Here is a 25,013-nt window from a genome sequence, read left to right as displayed (position 1 = left end):
CCTTGTTTGCCTTTTTCTTCTATTAAAGCTGTATTCCCTCCTGTCTTTACACTGCTTTTCTGCTCTAGCCTCACCTTGGAAAGTTTCCTTTGCGGAGTCTATTTAAATGAATGCTGTGTCTCTTTCACTCATACACCAAAAACTTAGAAATCTGGACTTTTCATTTCAGAAGGATATTTGGGGGTGGGAGGGGAAATCTCATTAGCTTGTCAGTCAAATGTATATTTGCAAACACTTGGTGCACATCAAACGATACAGACTTGGATAGGAAACAAATGTATTGTGCTCATTAAATTATTAGTATTATTATTTTTACGAAAAGGAATGCCTGAGAAAACAAATGCATTTGGGTGTGTTCAACTACTCTTAGTTTTATAATAGGATTTACTCTTTTCTTTTTAAAAATCCCTGTTCTTCAAACCTGTAAAAATAATAAATCATTTATTTCCATGTCCAACTTGAGTCCCTAGTGTTTGATTACTGTTTCACCAAAAGGAAAATAAATACAATGTGTGCTATTAAAGTAATTCAGTGCAAATTGGGCATAACACAAAATTACATTATTAACAGCTGTTAAATGACTATAAAATGTAATTAGACACACTCAATTCACTACTCATGAACTGCACCTGATTTCTAAAATATCAGTTTAGAACTTTGATTATTCATGACAAAAGAGAACATACTTAGATTTTAGGTTTAAATTCCTGATAATGGATGTATTCCCCTATGACCTTTACTGGGATTCCAAATAAGAGGAGGAGGAAAGAGTTGTTTAAGCGCAGGAGGGGGATTGTGAGTTATCATGTGGGTGCCGGCAGGTTCCCACTGAATCCCTGCCAGCTGCAGTGAGGCATGAGTGCCTTGGTTAAATTTTAACTCTCTGCTTGCAAAGGAGCAACAAAGCCCAGCTCAGATACTTCTATTCTAGATGTTTACGACTGTTGCTTTTCTTGACTCCTCAATTTCTTGGCTGCCTTTTCAATGTACCCTGTTAATTTGCTTAATAAAAATAAATAAAATAATGCCAGCCAAAAAGTATGGGGATATTCATTATGCACTTTCCTCCTCCAAGGCAGGATGGAGGCAAGATGACATGATGTCCAATATATGCTTTGGGATCCCATGGGAACATAACTGGTTCTTATTGCAAACTCCTTACTCTAGTCACCCTGGCTTTTCCTACTCTGCCCCTACGTACCTTCTCAGTCTGATTTCCAGCTTCTCCCCTCTCTAGCCAAGGCTACCTGCTATTTACCCAAATGTGCCTTGGGTAGATTACTTTCCCCTTTTCATAGTCCTCTCTTTCCTTCAAGCTACAGTTCCACATGCACATTTCCTTCTTGGAGCTTTAACTAACCCCCCAATGAGAGGTCCCCTTTCTTCATCAGATCCCCTGGAGCCTCAGCCTGACCCTCTTCTATGATAGTTGCTACACTGTTTTCTGATGAGAGGTTGGTATTGCACAGTGGTTTATAGTATGGGCTCTGGAGTCAGACAAAATTGGGTTTCAATCTTGGTGCTTCTAATCTCTCGTGGTGTGATTATGACAAAGTTGCATCACTTCTCTGAGCCTCAGTCTCATTATTTATAAAATGAACACAATAATAGTTTTATTTCCTCATTCTCAAATCATGAGGACATGAGAGTTTTAGAATTCAAAGATTTGGGGATTTTAAACGGTATAGTGCACATTTTGTATGCTACAAAACACCCCTCAGAAGGGATACTGCCTTGAAAGCAAACACCTTAGTACTTCTACAGTGAAACAACTGAATAATTACACAAAGTAGGTTAAAATGAAAAAGAACCTCATGTCAGTTCAGGTCAGCTTTTACTGCCAAATTGGTTCTGGAAAAAATCATATGAATCAACTCTGAGTTTTTAAAAACTTTGTACTTTAGAATTGTAGATAAAAGACTGTGGACTTGTGAGGGTAAAATAAAATATGTGTAACACTTAACATAGTGCTGGCACATAATAAATGCTTAATGAAATTAAGCTGTTGTTACATAATCATTTGTGTACTTGGCTTTAACCCCTTATTGTCAGCGAGCTCTTGGAGAGGAAGAGGTTTTGTCTTAAACGGCCAACACCATGCATTGAATTGTACTTTGTAGGTGCTCAATAAATGGTCTTTGGGAGAAAGTCATCATCACATTGCTTAAATACATTTCCAGTTACAGAAATGTAGAGCCTTGTAAATGGCTATAATCTAAAGATTAGATCTGAATTCCTCCAAATAAGCTTACAGTCTGGGCCACCAAGAAGTAAAATATGTCAAAATAAAGTCACATGGATTTTCACAAGGAGAGTTACATTGCTTAGTCTCTCACAACAATCATGCAAACCTGACCAGCTTTCAGACAGACTGGGAAAAGAATGCATTTGGGGGCAAGCACACTATCCACAACCTAGCAGGAACCAAAGCAAGGGCAAGAGAGAGGTGTTTGACCCAGAGGTCATGTGAAGCCCAAGTGGGAACTGAGAGAAAGTAGCTGACTCCTGGGTGGGATGAGCACTTTGGTGGCATGAGTTGGTGGTCTGAGGGCATTCACCCTCCAAAGGCAACCAGCCCAATCAAGACTAATTGGTCTTTGTTGGCAGCCTCAATGCAGTCCCCAATCTGAATAGGTCTCCTTCCGTCAAGCTGACACCCCTAGGAGGATTCAGCACTTGTGAGTAATTTGGCCAAGCCTAACTTGAAGTAATAAAACTTTTAGAGCCTTTCCAAAATCTTTCTACAGGAAAGAAAGATTCTGCAGGCAGATTAGAGGAGCTTTTCTTCCCTCAGCACAGGTAATGGCCTCAATGAACCCCATTTAGGATATTCATACAGATGAAGGGAGAATAGATCCCTAAGGAGAAAAATGAGCTGCCTTCTACACTGGTTGAGATATAGTTTATTGAATGGCAGGTCACTTCGCTTGGATGATCAGCCATTTGTCATATGTAACTGGAGGCCTCTGAGAAACAGCGACAGGGAATGTGAAAGGAATCAATGGGAGTTCTGGCCCAAGAGAAACATTTGCCAGCATGAATTCATTCATTAACTTCTCTAAACTCTGCTTTTGTCTTTTAGCCTCAAGGCCACTCCTGAGTTCAAGATGGTCTCAGTGTAGGAACTAGTCCTATTAACAGGCCATCGGGTCTGCCAAGAGCTAGCCAGTGCAGGGTCTTTGCTCCTGAAATACTTCCCACAAAGGCAGTCATATCGAAACAGGATCTTTAAGTACATGAGATGGGTTCGATTCACTTTGAAATGATGGTCTCATATCAAAAGATATGCCTGGAAAGTAACAAGCATGGATGCTGCTGTTTTAATTTCAATAAATGTATGTGAACCTATACAGCTCACAGGGGGTCTGGCCAGTTATCACAGTGATACTGACACTGTTGAAAGTATTTTTGAGACCCCTTTTTGGGGACTACCTTCAGAGTGTGCACTATATTGTTAAGAATCTCTTCAATGGTGACAAACCTATATCTTTGTGGGGTGAATTTGATTTTTGGAAAGAGCCATAAATTACCCCAAAGCAAAAATCAAGTAGGTAGCCTAGGACATACCATTTAAACATAGAGTAATGCAACCATAAAAATGAAAGAAATAATGGCATTTGCAGCAGCCTGGATGGAGTTGGAGACCATTATGCTAAGTGAAGTAACTCAAGAATGGAAAACCATATATCGTATGTTCTCACTTATAAGTAGGAGCCAAGCTATGAGGACGAAAAGGCATAAGAATGATATAATGGACTTTGGGGACTCAAGGAGAAGGGGGGAAGAAGGTGAGAAATAAAAGGCTACACATTTGGTGCAGTGTACACTGCTTGGGTGATGGGTGCACCAAAATCTCAGCAATCACCACCAAAGAACTAATCCATGTAACCAAAAACCACCTGTTCCCCAAAAACTATTAAAATAAAACAAACAAACAAAAACAAAACTAAAAACATAATAAAAATAGAGAAATGAAGAAGCAATGCTTTTCTCAGTGACTAACCCTAAAGGGAAAAGAATGAACTTTCACTGAGCACCTACCACATGCCAGTTACCTTTATAAGACCTAAATCTTACTTCATCTTTAAAATAACTGTCTTAAGGTATTAATACTCTCATGTATAAAATGGGGCTCAGAGAAGTCAAGTACCTTCAGCAAGGTCACACAGATCATTGGTGCAGAGCTGAGATTGATGGCCATTTCTTCCATTCGTCTGCAAGCCAGAGAGTGTTCTTTCTGTTATACCACACTGCCTTCTTTGAAGGTCATTAAAAGGATAAAAAAAGGGTGATCCTTCCCATCTTGATACACTCACAAAATTTCTTTCTCATTTTCACACCAAATAAAATAAAGTAGAAATACATATAAGTTATTTGTTTTGAGATAGGAGAATGCCAGGAAAGTTAGGAATGAATCAGGCATTTGTAAATCAGATAACTTTAGATGCTGAAGAAGAGCTTTTTGTTTAAAGAAACCCTGGTAATTATTTGATAAATGTAATAATTCTGATGGAAATGACTTATTTTTCCTAGTTAACCTATATTTTAACTTCCAAGTACAACTGGCAGTGGTGGTGGCCCCCAGGGAGTTTACATTCTAGTGGGGTGGACAGAATCCCCCTACCTCAAAATCAAGTAAACAGATGAAAAAGGAAGCAACAGATACTTGCAAGTTCTAATGAGGTCTATGAAGAAAACAAGTAAGAGGCTGAAATAGAGAATAATAGGGGCATACCTACTTCAGGCCTCTCTAAGGCAGGACAGGATGGCACATGAAGTGTGGGGCCAAGAGCATTCCAGACAGAGGAAACAGTGTGTGCAAAGGCCTCGAAGCCGAAAAGAGCTTGGTATGTTCAAGGAACAGAAAAAGGCCAAGATTATGGTGAATAAAGAGAAGTAGTAGCACCGGATGAGGTGGAAGGGAGGGTTAAAAGCAGATCGTAAAGAGTTTCCCAAACTGTGGTAAAGACTTTGAATCCCATTTTAGATAAAACTGGATGAGTCTAGGAAGAGCAATGACATGATGGATAGTCACTGAAGGTAGATCACTGGCTGCCGTTGTGGAGACTGGATTGGAAGAAAGCAAAAGCAGAAGAGGGAGGGCCTCCACTGTAAGTGTAAAGGAAAGCGATGATAGTGACTGGGACTAGGGTGATAACGGTAGAGATGGAGAAAGGAGGCTGGACTTAGGATTCAAGGGACTTCTAATAAAATGGATGTGGGGACTGAGGAAAAGAAGAAGCCTAGGATGAATCATACATTTGGGGCTTGAATGACTTGGTGAATGGTGGTGCCAATCACTGAGCCAAGGAAGGCTGGAAAAGGAACAGTGTTTGGGGGCAAAAATCAACGTTCAATTTTGGACTTGCTAAGTTTGAAAAGCCTTTAGAAATATCTACATGGAGATGCCAGTTAGGCAGTTGGAGATGTGAATCTGGGCTAAAAACATACATTTGGAGGTCATCAGCATATGTTGTTATCTATAGTCATGGACTTCATAAGATCACCCAGGGAGAATGTGTATATAGTAAAAAGAAGATGGAAACAGATTGAACTGTGGGGCTCCCCAACATTAAGAGGCTAAGCAGAGGAGGAGTCAGCAAAGGACACTGAGAAGGATATCATGTAGAAGGAAAAGGAGAGAGTGCTGATTTTTGACCTCCTAAAGTTCATGAATCTGAGGGCTCTAGGATAAGGGGAACTTGGTACTATCATCCACCATTACTGCAGTAGGACTTAGATGGTTCTTGTAAAGTCATGGTGTCTAGTTTCGTGCTTGATAATTAGTACTGGTTCCTGGCCTCAGGTTGCTGGTCTTTGGGGTCAGCTCCTGTGTCAAATAACCTGCTGGTAGTACACTTTCTTGGTACCCTGGGCATTAGTAAACCAGCCCAGGAAGCTTCCTGGAGTGCCCACAGCAACACTGATGGGTGTAGTCAAAGCTACAGCCTTGGGACTTAGAGCCAGGCAAGACCAAGCACCTACAGGTAGCACAGAAAATCGGTATTCAAAAGACCCATAAGGCCTTGCCCTATAACCTCCTGGGGGAATTCATCATGTAATCTGATAAATTGTGTAATATTCATTTAATGTCCATCTCATGCCCTAAACATGCCCCCCTGAAAGCAGGAATTGTATTCTGGCTTGTTTCCCACTTTATCCCCTGTGCCTAGCATAGTGCCTGCTCATGCTAATTAACAGACTTACAAACCAGATCAGCAGTAGGGGATTGGTATGGGTTGATAAATGGGCTTACTGGAGCAAAGCCAAGTCTATGAGATTCCTGACTCCCAGAAACTACTACTATTGGGGGCTCTAGGCAGGCACCAGCCCCAGCAGCTCTGTAGGCAGTCAGAACACCTTTACTCACAATATTTAACAAAAGGGAGGTGAGGCTATAGAGCTGAGACTGGGGGTTGCACTGTCATCATCAAGCCTGAATGTTTTCCAGTGGGTCTTACTTAGCTTGTATACCCACATGGCATGAGGCTAGCTTTGCCAGTGTTAGAGCAGAGTCTACCATTGGCTGTCGACAACATGGTGAGTGTCTCTTAGTTGCTTGTGCTCCTTCACTGCTTCAAAATCAGCCCAGCTGGTATGGAGCAGGATCTGCTAGCCATCAGATGTAGCAAGTGTCAGCTTGCTTTGGATGTGTACACAGCAGTCCACAGGTTGGACACGGTTGCCCCCTGCTAATGAGAGCAGCTCCTAAGAGCTGGGGGCCTATCTCAAAGCTGGATGTTCCAATGAAGGCCCACAAACTGTCCTCATTCCAGGGCAAGGCCTCTATTTGACAGCTGGGTCTCTGGCGCAGAGCAGCTGGTTATGGATTGTGTTGTAAAGGGGAGTAAGTCAACCTTGTGGGGTCTTTAAGGATCACTCCAAACACAGCCATGGAAATTATACTGGGAAAGGACATGAAATGAAAGGATTTATTATACTCACAGGCCCTAGAGACAGAAGGCATGGTACACCACACAGGGCCATATGGGAGGAGCTCCCAGGGAATAGGCTCAACCAAGAAGGTGGGGAACTGAGAAAGCAGGGACCTGTGGTCAAGTGCATTTATTGAGAGTCAGAGTAAGCAAAAGGTATGAGGGGATTTTACTGGTGCATCTGAATGTCTCTAGGTCCCAGTTGGGGGAGGGCAAGAAGGGGAACTTGTGGCAGGGCCCAGCCTTATCACACAGGCGTATATGGTCATCTGGGTGGGGTGCTCACAGTTGGTTTGTGGGGATGTTGAGGAATCAGGAAAATATGGAGTTTTTAAAAAATTTCCAATACATAAATTGAATGTGTCTCCCCGAAATTCATTTGTTGAAATCCTGATCCTCTATGTGAAGGTATTTGGAGATGGAGCCTTTAGGAGGTGATTAGGTAATAAGGGTGGAGCCCCTGTGAATGGGATGAGTGCCCTTGTAAGAGAAACCCCAGAGAGCTCTCTTGTCCTCTTTTTCACCATGTGAGGACACAGCAAGAAGTTAGCAATCTGTAACCCAGAAGAGGGCCCTCACACAAATCCAACCATGCTGGCACCATGATCTCAGACTTCCAGCCTCTGCAACTGTGAGAAATAAGTTTCTGTTGTTTATTAGCCATGCAGTCTATGGCACTTTACTGTAGCAACCTGAGCTGCTAAGACACAGGTGGCGAACTCCTCCCTGACAGAGGTGATAAGTAGCTCCTGTGGGGCACTCACACAGCATGACAGATGCCAAGAATCCAGTTTGGCTTTCCTGTGGGCACTTTCTAGCTGTCTATGTGGAATTACCTGCCTCTACTGCCAGAACTACTTACAAAAACTAAAGTACAATTTGATCCATCAACACAAGAAATGCTAGTTGCTAGGGGTCATCAAAGTATCTAAGTACATGAAGAATTTAGATAGCAGCACATAGTGGTTAAGAGCATGGGCTTTGGAGATAGACATAACTGGGTTCAAATCTTGATTCTACTATCAGTCAGGCAATGTGACCAGGCTACTTAACCTCTCTAGCATCAGTGACTTCATATTCAGTGGGATTATAGTAACACACACACATCTCCCAGGTTGTTAAGAGGGTGAATGAGATCATGTATGTATAATTCTCAACATAGCACCTGCCACATAGTAAATGCTATAAAAAATGTAGCTATTACTATGATCAGAGCAGCAGTAGGCATAGTGGTCAGGAGCTAGTCTGGGGCCAGTCTGCTATGCTACAATCATGGCTCTGCCTCTTACTTTGTGAATTTGGGCAAGTCATTTAACGTTTCCAAGCCTCAGTTTTCCCATCTGTAAAGTAAGAGTAACAATTTTTCCTACCTCAATGAGTTGTTTGGGGATTAAATAAGAATGTATATTCCATGAGATTTTTGTAGGTGTGGCTGGATTTGGGGAAAATAAAACAAAATGACAGAAACAATTCAATGGAAAATAAGTTTGGGAGTCACTGCACACTATATATCCTTCTTAGAGAGTCACAGTGCACCTAGGCGTATGACTAAAGGCTCTGGCAAGTCCTGCAGTAAAGCAACCCTATTATTGTTACATAATTCCTGTTTCTCCAAATTATAGAATCTACACCTCCTTTTCATGCTGCATATGCTAACACCTGATAAACCAGTACCCATGGGACACTTAGAACAGTGCTTGACACAATGTAGTGTTTCAGTAAGTGTTAGCAATCAATATTGAATATTATGTATTAATTCCCTAAGAGGATGGTGCCACAACTGAGGTGGGTGGCAGGGTTTTTGATTTTCTTTTTACTTTTTTTTGTGGAAAACTGATTTATTATTATTAATATACTTTAAGTTCTGGAATACATGTGCAGAACGTGCTGGTGTGTTACACAGGTATACATGTGCCATGGTGGTTTGCTGTACCCATCAACCTGTCATCTACATTAGGTATTTCTCCTAATGCTATCCCTCCCCTTGCCCCCCACCCCCTGACAGGCCCCGGTGTGTGATGTTCCCCTCCCTGTGCCCATATGTTCTCATTGTTCAACTCCCACTTATGAGTGAGAACATGCGGAGTTTGGTTTCCTGTTCCTATGATAGCATGCTGAGAATGATGGTTTCCAGCTTTATCCATGTCCCTGCAAAGGACATGAACTCATCCTTTTCTATATGGCTGCATAGTATTCCATGGTGCGTATGTGCCACATTTTCTTTATCCAGTCTATCATTGATGGGCATTTGGGTTGGTTCCAACTCTTTGCTATTGTGAATGGTGCCACAATAAACATACGTGTACCTGTGTCTTTATAGTAGAATGATTTATAATCCTTTGGGTATATACCCAGTAACGGGATTGCTGGGTCAAATGGTATTTTTCTAGTTCTAGATCCTTGAGGAATCGCCACACTGTCTTCCACATTGGTTGAACTAATTTACACTCCCACCAACAGTGTAAAAGTGTTCCTATTTGTCCACATCCTCTCCAGCATCTGTTGTTTCCTGACCTTTTAATGATCATAATTCTAACTGGCGTGAGATGGTATCTCATTGTGGTTTTGGTTTGCATTTCTCTAATGACCAGTGATGATGAGCTTTTTTTCATATGTTTCTTGGCCACATAAATGTGTTTTTTTTGAAAAGTGCCTGTTCATATCCTTTGCCCACTTTTTGATGGGGTTTTTTTTTTCTTGTAAATGTGTTTAAGCTCCTTGTAGATTCTGGATATTAGCCCTTTGTCAGATGGATAGATCGCAAAAATTTTCTCCCATTCTACACATTGCCTGTTCACTCTGATGGTAGTTTCTTTTGCTGTGCAGAAGCTCTTTAGTTTAATTAGATCCCATTTGTCAATTTTGGCTTTTGCTGTCATTGCTTTTGGTGTTTTAGTCATGAAGTCCTTGCCCATGCCTATGTCCTGAATGGTAAAGCCTAGGTTTTCTTCTAGGGTCTTTATGGTTTTAGGTGTTACATTTAAATCTTTAATCCATCTTGAGTTAATTTTTGTATAAGGTATAAGAAAGGGGTCCAGTTTCAGTTTTCTGCATATGGCTAGCCAGTTTTCCCAACAGCATTTAATAAATAGGGAATCCTTTTCCCATTGCTTGTTTTTGTCAGGTTTGTCAAAGATCAGATGGCTGTAGATGTATGGTATTAATTCTGAGGGCTCTATTCTGTTCCATTGGTCTATATATCTGTTTTGGTACCAGTACCATGTTGTTTTGGTTACTGTAGCCTTGTAGTATAGTTTGAAGTCAGGTTGCATGATGCCTCCAGCTTTGTTCTTTTTGCTTAGGGTTGCCTTGGCTATGCAGGCTCTTTTTTGGTTGCATATGAAATTTCAAGTAGTTTTTTCCAATTCTGTGAAGAAAGCCAATGGTAGCTTGATGGGAACAGCATTGAATCTGTAAATTACTTTGGGCAGTATGGCCATTTTCATGGTATTGATTCTTCCTATCCATGAGCATGGAATGTTTTTTCATTTGTTTGTGTCCTCTCTTATTTCCTTGAGCTGTGGTTTGTAGTTCTCCTTGAAGAGGTCCTTCACATCCTTTGTAAGTTGGATTCCTAGGTATTTTATTCTCTTTGTAGCAATTGTGAATGGGAGTTCACTCATGATTTGGCTCTTTGTTTGTCTATTATTTGTGTATAGGAATGCTTGTGATTTTTGCACATTGATTTTGTATCCTGAGACTTTCCTGAAGTTACTTATCAGCTTAAGGAGTTTTTGGGCTGAGACAACGGGGCTTTCTAAATATACAATCATGTCGTCTGCAAAAAGAGATAATTTGACTTCCTCTCTTCCTATTTGAATACCCTTTATTTCTTTCTCTTGCCTGATTTCCCTGGCCAGAAGTTCCAATACTATGTTAAATAGGAGTGGTGAGCAAAGACATCCTTGTCTTGTACCGTTTTTTTTGTTTTGTTTTGTTTGAGACAGAGTCTCACTCTGTTGCCCAGGCTGGAGTGCAGTGGCACGATCTTGGCTCACTCCAACCTCCGCCTCCCAGGTTCAAGCGACTCTCCTGCCTCAGCCTCTTGAGTACCTGGGACTATAGGCGTGCACAACAACACCCAGCCAATTTTTGTATTTTTTAGTAGAGACAGGGTTTCACCATGTTAACCAGGTTGGCCTTGAACTCCTGACCTCAGGTGATCTGCTTGCCTTGGCCTCCCAGAGTGCTGGGATTACAGGTGTGAGCCACCATGCCCAGCCACTGGGCCTTTGATTTTCTTGGCTTCGGTTTTCTCTAGTAGGCAGGGAACCCCAGGCTTCACAGCAGAGAGTAGATGGGGCTGTCTCAACTGATTATCCTTGTATATACTGCAATTAATGCATAGTGGACAACTACAGAAGTCAGATATAAAGCAAAGGCCTTGGAAGCGTATGCTTTGCTCCTTGACTGTCTATTACTCAGGCTTCGTAGCACCAACAATTTGCATCCAAAGTCAAGAGAAAAGACAGAAAGGGTAGCAGTGCACCCTCCTCCAATTCCCACTTCAGTGCTTAAGCACATTCTTTCCTTCGCACCACCCCACTACACCCATACATACACATTGCACAGTAGCCTCACATCCTCACCCCAGCAGGAAAGGTAGTGAATATAGGAAGAGGGTGCCTACATAGAGAAAAAACACTGGCCTGGGAGTCAGGAGATCTGGCTTTTACTCTGGCATGGCCACTAATAAGCCCCACAACCTTAGAGAAAACTCCAATGGAGACCACCTCTCTGGGCTCACACTTCAGACTTAATAAATTGAGAGACTGAACTGGATTATTTCAAAACTTCTTTCTAGCCCTAGCATTAACATTCAAAGTGAACAGAGATGATCATGTCCATTTTTTAGAATAGGAAACAGGTACAGAGTGATTAAGTGACTTTCCCAGGATTATACCAATGGTAAATGGTAGATCTGAACTGGAACAGGTCTCGACCCCCTGCCTTCCCACCACAGAGCTGCCATGATCTCCCTAGATCCCCCTGTGTTCTAAGAACCACAGACACAAAGTGTGGAAACAGGTAATTAGAAAACAAAACCAAAACGAGCAAGAAAAAATTAGAACATACACTCTGCCATTCTTAAGGGATCTTCTAAATGGCCCAATGGACTTTTTTTTTTTTTTGGGTGGGGGGACATCTCATGGTTGTTCATCTTTTCTATGTTTAGTCCTTTCTCATTCCTTCCTTTTTCTTTTCTGTTTTTTTTTTAAAGGATTTGAAAGGTAATCTATTGTAAGGCATCTTTCCCTTTTATTTGTGTTCAAATTTTTTTTTCATCATAATCATTCATTTTCCCGTTTACTGAGCACATATTATTTATAACATTTATTTTAGGTTTGGGAGGTGCATGTGAAAGTTTGTAATATAGGTAAACTCATGTAATGGGGGTTTGTTGTGCAGATTATTTTGTGACCCAGGTATTAAACCTAGTACCCAACAGTTATTTTTTCTTTCTACTCCTCTCCCTCCTCCTACCCTCCACCCACAAGTAGACCCCAGTGTTTATTTTTCCCTTCTTTGTGTTCATGAGTTCTCATCATTTAGCTCCCAGTTGTAAGTGAGAACATGTGGGTATTTGGTTTTCTTTTCCTGCATTAATTTGCTAAGGATAATAGCCTCCAGTTCCATACACGTTCCCACAAAAGACATGATCTCATTCTTTATTAAGGCTGCATAGTATGCTATGGTGTATACGTACCACACTTCATCCAGTCTGTCATATGTGGGTATTCAGGTTGATTCCATGACTTTGGTATTGTGGATAGTGCTGCAATAAACATTTGCAGGCATGTGTCTTTATGGTAGAATGATTCATATTCTTCTGGGTATATATCCAGTAATGGGATTGCTGGGTCTAATGGTATTTCTGCTTTTAGCTTTTTGTGGAATCGCCATATTGCTTTCCACAATGGTGGAATTAATTTACACTTTACACTCCCACAAACAATGTATATGTTCCCCTTTCTCTGCAACATCGCCAGTATCTTTTTTTTTTTTTTTTGATGGAGTTTTTGCTCTTGTCACCCAGGCTGGAGTACAATGGCATGATCTCGGCCCACTGCAACCTCTGCCTCCTGGGTTCAAATGATTCTCCTGCCTCAGCCTCCCAAGTAGCTGGGATTACATGCACCACCATGCCCGGCTAATTTTTGTATTTTTAGTAGAGACAGGGTTTCGCCATGTTGGCCAGGCTTGTCTCGAACTCCTGACCTCAGGTGATCCACCCGCCTCTGCCTCCCAAAGTTCTGGGATTACAGGCATGAGTCACCACACCCAGCCTTCTTATTTTTTAATTTTATAGTAATGGACATTCCGACTGGTGTGAGATGGTATCTCATTGCGGTTTTGATTTGCATTACTCTAATGATCAGTGATATTGAGCTTTTCTTCATATGCTTGTTGTCCACATGTATGTCTTCTTTTAAAAAGTGTCTGTTCATGTACTTTGTCCACTTTTTAATGGGGTTGTTTGTTTTTCTCTTGTAAATTTGTTCCAATTCCTTGTAGATGTTGGATACTAGACCTTCGTCAGATGCATAGTTTGCAAATATTTTCTCCCATTCTGTAGGTTGTCTATTTACTCTGTTGATAGTTTCTTTTGCTGTGCAAAAGCTCTTAACTTTAATTAAATCTCATTTGTCAATTTTTGATTTTTGTTTCAATTGCTTTTGGAATCTTCATTATGAAATCTTTGCTCGTTCATATGTCCAGAATGGTATTGCTTAGGTTGTTTTCCAGGGTGTGGGGTTTTACATTAAGTCTTTAATCCATCTTGAGTTGATTTTTGTATATGGTGTAAGGAAGGTGTCCAACTTCATCTTCTGCATCTGACTAGCCAGTTATCCGAGCACCATTTATTGAATAGGGAGTGTTTTCCCCATTGCTTGTTTTTGTCTGCTTCATCAAAGATCAGATGGCCGTATGTGAGCAGCCTTGTTTCTGGGCTCTCTGTTTTGTTCTATTGGTCTATGTGCCTGTTTTTGTACCAGTACCATGCAGTTTGACTACCGTAGCCCTGTAGTATAGTTTGAAGTCAGGCAACATGACACCTGTATCTTTGTGCTTCTTGCTTAGGATTGCCTTGGCCTATTCAGGCTCCCTATCTTTTTCTTGAACGGCTCTATATGCTTTTCTTGCGTGTTACCTAATCTTCACTTATTTCCTAAGCTCCAAATTGGGGGAAAAACAAACAAACAAACAACAAAAAAACCTTCATGCTGTTACAAGGTGAGTCTTTTGCCTGAGTTTTTGATATGGTTTGAATCTGTGTCCCTGCCCAAATCTCATGTCAAATTGTAACCCCAACTGTTGGAGGTGGGCCTGGTGGGAGGAGATTGAATCATGGGAGCAACCACCCCCATGAATGGTTTAACACCATCCCTCAGGTGTTATTCTCATGATAGTGAGTTCTTGTGAGATCTCATTGTTTAAAAGTGTGTAGCACCTCCCCCAACTTGCTCCTGCTCTGGTCACATAAGACGTGCCTGCTTCTCTTTCACCTTTCACCATGATTGTAAGTTTCCTGAGGCCTCCCCAGAAGCAGAAGCATCTATGCTTCTTGTACAGCCTGCAGAAATGTGAGTCCATTAAACTTCTTTTCTTTATAAATTACTCAGTCTCAGTTATTTCTTTATAGCAGTGCAAAAATGAACTAATACAGTTTTCCAACTGAAATTGGACCGCCTTTCTTTCTCTTCCTTTGAGAGACTCATTTTCTCTAATGTATTGGTTCTGAAACTTGACTGTACATTCAGAATCACCTAGAAGCTTTGGTTAAAAAAAAAAAGAGAGAGAGAAAAAGATTGCCAGACCTCACCCCAGAGTTTCTGATTCAGTAGGTCTGGAGTGAAGCTGAAGATTTTGAATTTTTCGTAAGCTCCTAACTGGTGTTGATACTGCTGGTCCTGGAACTACTGCTTTAATGAGAGTTTAAACCTGCTATCTTCATTTTCCTACAAGCACAATTTAGTGCCAATGGAAAGTTAGCCATGAATAGCCCTTGCTCTAAAGAGACCTTTTGTTTAAATCAGAAACACAAACAAAAAATGCTGTTTGTTTGGGGTAAACCTCATCCAAAAGTAATTTGCTTTGATTGTGCTGATTGACAAGTGTCATTTTTCATGGCTTATTACTAATTCCAAAGCTTGTGAGTAAACTGAAGGTTCAATAATAAGCCAATGATGGCATGAATAATCACAGCCTTATTTATGAGTAATGACAACTAGGAAAGCTTCCTGTGACATTTTTCTACTCTCTGATCAAGAATACTTCTTGTTTGGTTTATAGTTTGCATCCAGAGGAAACTGACAGAGGGTTGACCTGGTGTGTGTGGAAAAACATTAATTTGGGAATCAAGGAAAACAAGGTTTAGTCCTGGCTCTGCCATTGACTAGTTGAATGACCAGCTTCTTTCCCTCTCTAGACTTACAGATGTAAAATGAACTTACTGGAAATATATATTTCATGCAGATTTTAAGACGTAAAGCCAGTTTGGGAGGAAAAAACCCAACCAAACAGTTCAATAGTAAAATATGTTCTGGAATCACTCCATTCTATATGCCCTTCTTAGAATGTCACACTATTCCCTGACATATCTCTTAGTCCATTTTATGTTGCTGTAACAAAATACTACAGGCTGGGTAATTTATAATGAACAGGAATTTAATTGGCTCATGGTTCTGGAGGCTGGGAAGTCCCACAACAGGTCATTTGCAAATTGGAGGCCAGGGGTTACTGCTAACATGGCTCAGTCCAAGCCCAAAAGCCTCAGAACTAGGAAAGCTGATGGTGTAACTCTTAGTATGAGGCCAAGGGCCTGAGAACCTGTGGGGCTGGCATCTAGCAAAAGCCTTCTTGCTTCCTCATTCTATGCTAGAAGGCAGAGAGGCAAAAGAGGGTGAGATAAAGGGACAAAATAAAGACCAAAATTGTCCTTTTATAATGAACACACTCACGTGATAACAAACCCACTCCCAGGATAACAGCATTAATCCATTCATGAGGGCAGTGCCCCACCTCCCAACAGTGCTGCGCTAACGACCAATTTCTCTACACATGAACTTTGTGGGGGCACATTCAAACCATGGCAGCACATTATAAAGGCTCTGAGAAATCCTGCAGTAGCACAACCCTTTAGTGTTTTTTAACTAAAGTATATGACCATGATATACATCTTAATGCTACTAATACCTCATAGACCAGTATTCCAAAGGCAGCAAACATCCCAGGATGATCTACAAGGGCTCTTCCAACTTGAAATGCACTGAGTCTGGGATGTGGCTCTCAAGAATTGCAACTGACATCACAGGGATTGTGTAATGCCTGTGATTTAGGGAAAGCAGAAGCTCATACCACCAATCCAGGTTATTTTTGATCTTCTTATTTTCGAGACAGGGTCTTGCTCAATCACCCAAGCTGGAGTGCAGTGGTATGATCATAGCTCACTACAGCCTTGAACTCCTGGGCTCAAGCGATCCTCCCACATCAGCCTCCTGAGTAGCTAGGACTACAGGTGTGCAGCATTACCACACCCAGCTAATTTAAACAATTTTTTAAGATGGAGTCTTGCTACATTTCCCAGAATGGTCTCAAACTCCTGACCTCAAGCAATCCTGCAGCCTCAGTTCAGGGTTCTTTTAGTGTTTGGTAGTTAGGCAAAACCTCCTGAAGGCATGAGCACTTCACCACTGTGAGAACTATGCCTGTATTTACATGTGTGCTGGTTTCCACATGTCAAGATGCTGCACTCACTTTCTTGGGCCTTTAAGAAGGGTCTCAGGCTCCCACTTTACTAGGTATTGAAGATGGCTGAGGTACTTCCTCCTGGTAAACTGCGCTTTTGCTGTGACCTCCTTTAAATTACTGGGGGTTTTCTCACTCACTCTCCACTATTTCTGTGGTTTCCATAGATCCCTCAACCCCATACAATGTCAATTTCCCCTGCATAAGTGGCTTTAATGTTTTATCTAGCTGATCTCTTAAAAGCACCACCATGTCTACTAGTTACAGGTGTAGGTTGAAATTCCAGAGTGGGGAATGTCACGTATGTACAATCTTCTATAACTACATATCACTTTTCAATGTAGTGTCTCATAATATGCTGTCAGTTTGGGGAAGGATTTTTATTAATGTATGTTTGACAGGTAAGGAAACTGATGCCCAAAATGGGCTAGTGATTTTTCACAGATTATAGAGTCAGTGAATACCAGAGCTAGAACTTGACCCCAAATCTTTTCACTCCCAAGCTCATATTTTTGCCTTTGAGAAAGTGCCCATAGAAAGCATTTTGCTTACTTGCATGGATTCGTTGGTAGTGGATGTGTGAAATTCTGTATCAAGGATTCAGAGGTTGGGACTAGAATCAGCTTAAAAAAAAAAGTATTGTGATCAATCAATCCTGAATGTAGTTTGGAGTAGAAGTCAGAGGGGCATGGGAAATTGGGCTATATTTGTGGTCCCTGAGGTATGCAAAACCTTACTTCTTGTCTTATTGATATTGTGTCAAGCACTTTTAAATATTTTGAACTTATGACACCCCAAACTATAATTTATTTTCTTTGAGGCTTAAATTAATAGAGTACTAGAAGTGAAAAGAATTCCTTAGATAACCTAGTTCAATATTGAGAACTATGCTGCCCAATATGGTGGCCACCGGCCATATGTCACTCTTGAGCTCTTGAAATGGGGCTAGTCTAAATTGAGATGTGCTTTAAGTATAAAATAATATTGGATTTAAATACTCTATATAAAGAAGGAAAACTATCACTAATAATTTTTTCTATTGATTACATATTAGATGATAGTAATTGGGGTACATTGGGTTAAATACACCATTAAAATTAATTTCATCTGTTTCTTTTTACTTATTTTTAAATTATCTACCAGAAAATCTACAATTTTATATGTAGTTTGCATTATATATTTTGATTAAATAGTGGCATCTGTCACTTGTTTCTGTGAATAAAGTTTTATTGGAAAACAGCCATGCCCATTCATTTACATATTTTTCATGGTTGTTTTCATGCTGCAATGGTAAAGTTAAGCAGTTGTGACAGATCATATGTCGAATTATTTACTATCTGGACCTTTCCAAGGTAAAGTTTGCATACCCCTGATCTAGAATCGCAATCTTTGTGTGTTTATTATTTGCGAGGTACCATATGAAGCTCTTCACATGGATGAGTTCATTTAATTCATACAACCACTCTGAGAGGGGTTCAGTTATTTTCCCCATTTTATATGAGAAAATTGAGACCCTAACTAACTCAACCAAGTCCACAGATCTAGTAAATCCTAGGAGCAAGCCTTGAAACTCAGCTCTGTCTGACTCTAAAGCTTGTACCCTTAACCATCACACCATATTGCCTCCCTGTAAAGGTATGGCTTCTTTCTCTCCTTAAGCTTACATTTATGAATTGATGCTGCCTTCCACTTCCCTTTGGAGCCCTGCTGTCACTTAGCATGATTGATAAAATGTATTTTGCTCTTACTTTGCATCTGCACTGTGTCAAATACTCAACTAGTAGCTTTACATGCAATAATATCTCATGCAATTCTTCTAACTTCCATATTCAAGCCCTTGATTTTGCTGTTCACTCTGCCAAAAATTTGTTCCCTTCATTATTCCTCCTATTTAAATCCTAATATTCCTCCATGTTCCCTTAAGCCTCACTTGCTTCTCTGAGAAGCCATTCTTACTTCTGTTCCTCTAGTGCTCCCTAGTCACATTAGGTCTTTATATATGCTATGTTGCTTCTTCTCTCACAGCACTTCATGTTTCATCTCCTCAACTTTATTGTATTTTTCCACAGGGCAGGTTGCATTAGTCCATCTTCATGTGCTGATAAAGATATACCCGAATCTGGGAAGAAAAAGCGGGTTTTAATGGACCCTTTTTAATAGACTTACAGCTCCATGTGGCTGGGGAGGCCTCACTATCACGGTGGGAGGCAAGGAAGAGCAAGTCACGTCTTACATGGATGGCAGCAGGCAATGAGAGAGAAGAGCTTGTGCAGCGAAACACCTGTTTTTCAAACCAGCAGATCTCCTGAGACCCATTCACTATCACAAGAACAGCACAAGAAAGACCCACCCCCATAATTCAGTCATCTCCCAACAGGTCCCTCCCACAACACGCGGGAATTATGGGAGCTACAAGATGAGATTTCGATGGGGACACAGAGCCAAACCATATCACAGGTCTTATGGTCCTTCAGAGCCTAGTTTAGCATTCACTATGGGTGTTCAGTAGGCTCACAGAATGAATGCCTTAAGAGGCCTGGGATACTAAACAGAGGAGAGTGAAGTAACCCAACTTATATTACCAAATCCTGAAAAGACATCTGACTGTTGATTATTGCAGTCTCATAACCAAGGGGCACAACATAAATATGCGATTTTGCTTTTAACAACTTGTCAAAACTTGATTTATTTCCATTTCAGGATGATATCGAGTACATGGTTCATCAATTGTGCACTTAAACTTAGGTAAGAGGTTAGAATGTGTGGCTCAAAAGACCACTGCTTTGATACTCTTTAGATACCAAGATTGAGAGCTATTAGGGTACAGAGGGATTAGATTAGGTTCAGATACTGGTCCAGGCTGAACAATCTGTTCGATAGAAAATTAGAGATGGCCTGGTTGTTCTATGAATAATTAGTAAAAAGTTGGAAATCAGATTTCTCATGACCTAATCACCCCCAAAAGCCCCACTTCCTCATACCATCACATTGGGGGTTAAGTTTCAATTTATGAATTTTGGAGGGTTATTAACATTCAGACCATAGCAAGTATTTTGTGTTCCTTTTAGTAAAAGAAATTCACAAACCCCACTTCAATGTGTTCTTCAATTCATTTAACATTTGAGCAATCTAAATCTCTAGCCATGTACTTTACTTCTCCACCTCCACTTACTCCTCAGGTAAACTCCTCCAGTCCCATGGCTATAAAAATTTAATCAGATAGCTATCACCTTTATAGTTTAGGCCATGATCTCCGTGCGACCTCCAGACTCCCATATCTGACTACCTGACTGACTTTACTAGTCCCAAGCCTCACCTCTTATTACCACCACCCCCAACCTAATTTTCTATTGTTTTCTCCATTTTTCGTAATGACAACTCCATCCTTCCAGTTATCTTGTCCAACAAATCCTTGGAGTCCTCTTTGACTCCTTTCTTTCCAACACATTCCACATTCATTCCATCAGTAAATTCTCTTGGTTTCTCTCTTCAAAGCATACCCAGAATATGCCTACTTTTCATCACCTTCACTGCCATGAACCTATTCAACCTCCACTTGCTACCAACTTTTTGGTGTATGTTGCCCATTATCTTTCATCTGGATTGTCATGATAGCTTCTCAAATGCTCTCCCAACTTCTCATCTTGCCACCATCCCAAACTATTCTCTTTTCAATAGCCAGAGTGGTCCTATGAAAATATAAGACAAATTATGTTACTGTACTGTTCAAACCCCTTCAATGGCTTCTACTCTCATCCAGAGCAAAAACTAAAATCCTACATGGCCCCACAGATTTGGCATCTTGACTTTCTTTCAGAAAATTCTCCACTGAACTCACTGTGCTTCAGCCACATTGGCTTGTTGTTGGTTCTCAAAAACACTAGACAAATTCCTGCTCAGGACCTTTGCATTTGTTTCTCTTACCTGGAATACTTTCCTCCCAAATACAATGTAACTTATTCTATAACCCCTTTACAGATCTCTGCTTAAATGTCATTTGGTCTATAAGGTTTCCTATTATCATCCTAACTGTCTCCCTTCCCTGTTTTATTTTTTTCCATAGCATGCATCACCATCTACTGTACTATATATTTGACTTATATGTTTATTGTTTGTCTCCCACCACCGGAATGCAAGCTCCCTGAGGAAAGAGATATTTATGTCTTGTTTGTTACTGTATTCACCAATGCCTGAAACACTGCCTAACATATAGAGACCTTCAATAACTAATTTTAGATTGAATAAATGTAGAGAGAATAAATAAGTCCTGGAGTCCTTTGCAATCTCTCATTGAATAACACCTCTGGCATTGAGACTTGGCATCATGGGGCCATTTGCAAACCTGTCCCTGTTAAATCCTAGTCAATTGCTAGAACATCTACAAGGTTCCAGGCACAGTGTGATGCCCTAAAAAGCTCCAGTCTTAATATTCAGCTGTGACATTTGCAATTCATCAAGTCATACTTCTGAGCTCTCACAGAACTTCTTGATAACGGTATCTTCTTCTGGCTACACATTTCAATGCATACGCCAGTAAATAGCCCATTTCGATTTTGCACATACTGAAGGAAGGCTGGTGTTCGTATCTTATTGTTATTAATGCAGTTTATAATTTTATTATTGAACTTAATACGTAATTTGTGCCAACCTGTGGCCTCAGGCATTGAGTCCGTAGTGACTTGCCATTGCAGGGAGTCACTACTGCTTTGTGGACTACATGGCATCAGTAGTAGCCTCAATTTTGTAGCAATGGTTTTTAGTCATTTCCATGCAAATTTAGTTTAAAAAAAACCTATAATGCTTTATTTCTGTTTAAAAACATTACCCCTTATTTAATATTGAACTTATTTCTCATTTTTATGCTCTTGATGCAGGATGTTGAAAGGCAGAACTCCTGGAGAAATGCCAGTGGATTGAAGTTCTCCGACCCTTTTTACAAGAAAACACATGAGGAGTATCTGTCCAGAGAGGATCATCAGAAGAGAGCACGTACAATTAAAGGCTGCAGATAGTGGGTCTTCTTGACTAGCCCAGCCTAGCCCAGAGATAAGAACATCTAAGGTTGCTTCTTACCCTAGGTTTCTTCAACATCCCTATCACTTCACCATCCCTTGTTTGCTGGGGAGAAATCTACCTACCCTACACCTCTTGTAATTAGTGCCTAGCTCAGCACCAGATGAGTAATAGGCACCCTGAAAATGTTTGTTCAATTAATTTATTTATATATTTATCCATTCATTCACTAAATATATATCTGTTGAATGTTCATTATGTACCAGCATCGTATTAGTACTGGGATACAGTAAGCACTGATCCAGAGAGTCTCTGCTTTCCTCTCAGATCTCCTGTTTTAGTTGTGGGGGAGAGGGCAAAGCAATAAGTACATTGATGATAAGGTGATAAGTGCTACAGAGAAAATATAAAATGAGAGGGAGTGCTAAGGCATTCTAACAAAGGAAAAGGAGTTGTAATTTTCATTTCTGTGGTTAGGTAAGACCTCACTGAGAAGGTAACATTTGAGCAGAAAGGCCTGAAGGAAGAGAAGGATTAAGTCATAGGGTTATTTGATGAAAGAAAATTTCAGACAGAAGGGAGAGAAGATTCAAAGGCCCAGAGACATGAGTGTAACTGACATATTTGAGACACAATATGAAGGCCAGGGTGGCTGGATTTAAGTAATCACGAAGAAGAGAAATAGGATATGAAGTCAGAGAGGTGGAATGGTACAGACCATGTGGGACTTCATAGGCCACTTACATATAGGCTCTGTGCTTTAATAGGATAGGCATGATTAGGGGCTTGGAGCAGAGAGATGGCATGATCTGACAGATTTTAGGAAGATCCTTTTGGCAACAGTATTGAAAATATATTATATAGAGAAGCAAGAGACCAGTGATATTGTAGTAATCGAGTTAAGAGATGATGGAGGTTGGAACCTGTCTATAATGTTCCAAATGCAACCTCATGACAGACTGGCAAAAGTCTAGCCTGCCTTATGCTGTAAGGGGCCAGTCAGTGCTGTGTAACCCGAGGCTGGCTACAAGACCCACACTGGCTGCCTACCATATTCTCTCTATGGGACACCAAGAATACTGCCATCATCGGGAACAAATAGCTGTACAAACATTCAGAATAATCAAGTTGCCAGATGACTAATAATGTTTTTGTTTTGTTTTGTTTTGTTCATTTTTTTTGTTTGTTGAGATGGAGTCTCACTCTGTCACTCAGGCTGGAGTGCTTTTTTTTTTTTTTTGAGATGGAGTCTTGCTCTGTCACCCAGGCTGAAGTGCGATGGTACGATCTCAGCTAACTCTGCCTCCCGGGTTAAAGCGATTCTTCTGCATCAACTTCCTGAGTAGCTGGGACTACAGGTGCATGCCACCACACTCGGCTAATTTTTGTATTTTTAGTAGAGACAGGGTATCACCATGTTGGCCAGGCTGGTCTTGAACTCCTGACCTCATGATCCACCCACCTCGGCCTCCCAAAGTGCTGAGATTACAGGCGTGAGCCACTGGGCCTGGCCTGACTAACAATGTTGAACACGGTATTTTGTATGTGCTTATTGTTCCCTTTATCTTTTTTTGTGAAGTCACTGTTCAAGACTGCTTATTTTTTATTGGTTTTTTAAATCTTTATGATCAATTTGTGGGAAATCTTTACATATTCTTGATAAGAGTCCCTTTTCAGATATATGTATTGTGAATATTTTTCCCGGTGTATGGTTTGCTTTTTCATCTTCTTAACCATATATTTAAAAGAACAGCATTTTTTGATGAAGTCCAATTTATCAAATTTTCTTTTATGGTTATTTTTCTGCCATCTCCTAAAAATCCTTGTCTACCCCAAAGTCCTAAAGATACCATACCATGTTTTCTTCCAAAATCTTTATAGTTTTAGTTTATACTTTTCAGTCTATGATTAATCTCATTAATATTTGTGTATGCTGTAAGGTAGGAGTCAGTGTACATTTCCTTCCATACATTTATCCAGCCATTCCAGCACCATTTGCATAAAAGTTTTTTCTGTCCTCACTGAATTGCAATGGAGTCCTCAATTGACCATATGTGTATGGATCTGTTTCTGTACTGTTTTCTCCCATTAGTTGTTAGTCTATCCTTAGTGAGGGGTCAATCATTCTTAGTGAGGGGTAATAGGTCTTAAAATTGGGTAGTGTAAGTCTCCCAAAATTGTTCTTCTTTCATAAAAGGTTGTTCTTGTCTAGATTCTTTTGCATTTATAATAAATTTTAGAATCATCTTGTCAACTTCCACAAAGAAATAACTGTAGTGTTTTTAAATGGAATTGCATTGAGTCTGTCAATCAATTTGTAAATAAATAATACCTTAACAGTATAGTATTCCGATTCATAAATATGGTATATCTTTTCATTTATTTAGATTTTTTGAACTTTATTGAGGTATGATTGACAAATGTAAATTGTATGTATTGAAGATTTACAATGTGATGCTTTGATATATGTATTCACTGTGAAATGATGACCACAATCAAGCTCATTAACATATATATCACTTAATCTAGTTAGCTTTTTATTTTGTATAGTGAGAACATTTGAAATCTATTCTCCTAGCAAATTTCAAGTATTATTATTAATGATTACGCATTATTATTATTAGAGACAGGGTCTCTAAAATAGGTTGGACGGTAGTGGTGTGATCATGGCCCACTGTAATCTTGAACTCCTCCGCTCAAGCCATCCTGCTGCCTAACCTCTCAAGTATCTGGGACTACAGGCATGTGCCACAATGCCTGGCTATTTTTAATTTTTTTTGTAGAGGTGTGGTCTCACCATGTTGCTCAGGCTACATTACTATTAACTATAGTCACCTTGCTGTACATTATGTCTCCAGAAATTCTTCATTTTATAATTGAAAGTTTGTAATCTTTGACCAACATTTCCCCCTTTTTCCCACCTCACAGACCCTGGTAAACACCATTCTATTTTGTGTCTCTCTGAGTTTGACTTTTTTTTTTTTTTTTTCAGATTTCACATATAAGTGAGATCATGCTGTCTGTCCTTCTGCATCAGGCTATTTCACTTAGCCTAATGTCCTCCAGGCTCATTCATGTTGTTGCAAATGGCAGGATTTCCTTTAAGGCTGAATAATATTCATATACATATATGTGTGTGTGTATTATATATATATGTATAAAAACATTTTCTTTATTCATCTGTCAACAGACACTTAGGTTGTTTCAATATCTTGGTATAGTAACCAAGGTATATTATTCATAGTAGAATAATACTCTAATGAACACGGCAGTGCAAATATCTCTTTGAGATAATGATTTTATTTTTTGTTTATT

Source organism: Homo sapiens, chromosome X (genome assembly GCF_000001405.40).
Source record: "Homo sapiens chromosome X, GRCh38.p14 Primary Assembly".
Lineage (NCBI taxonomy): Eukaryota > Metazoa > Chordata > Mammalia > Primates > Hominidae > Homo > Homo sapiens.
The sequence above is the reverse complement of the archived record's forward strand: the minus strand, read 5'-3'. Positions refer to the sequence as shown.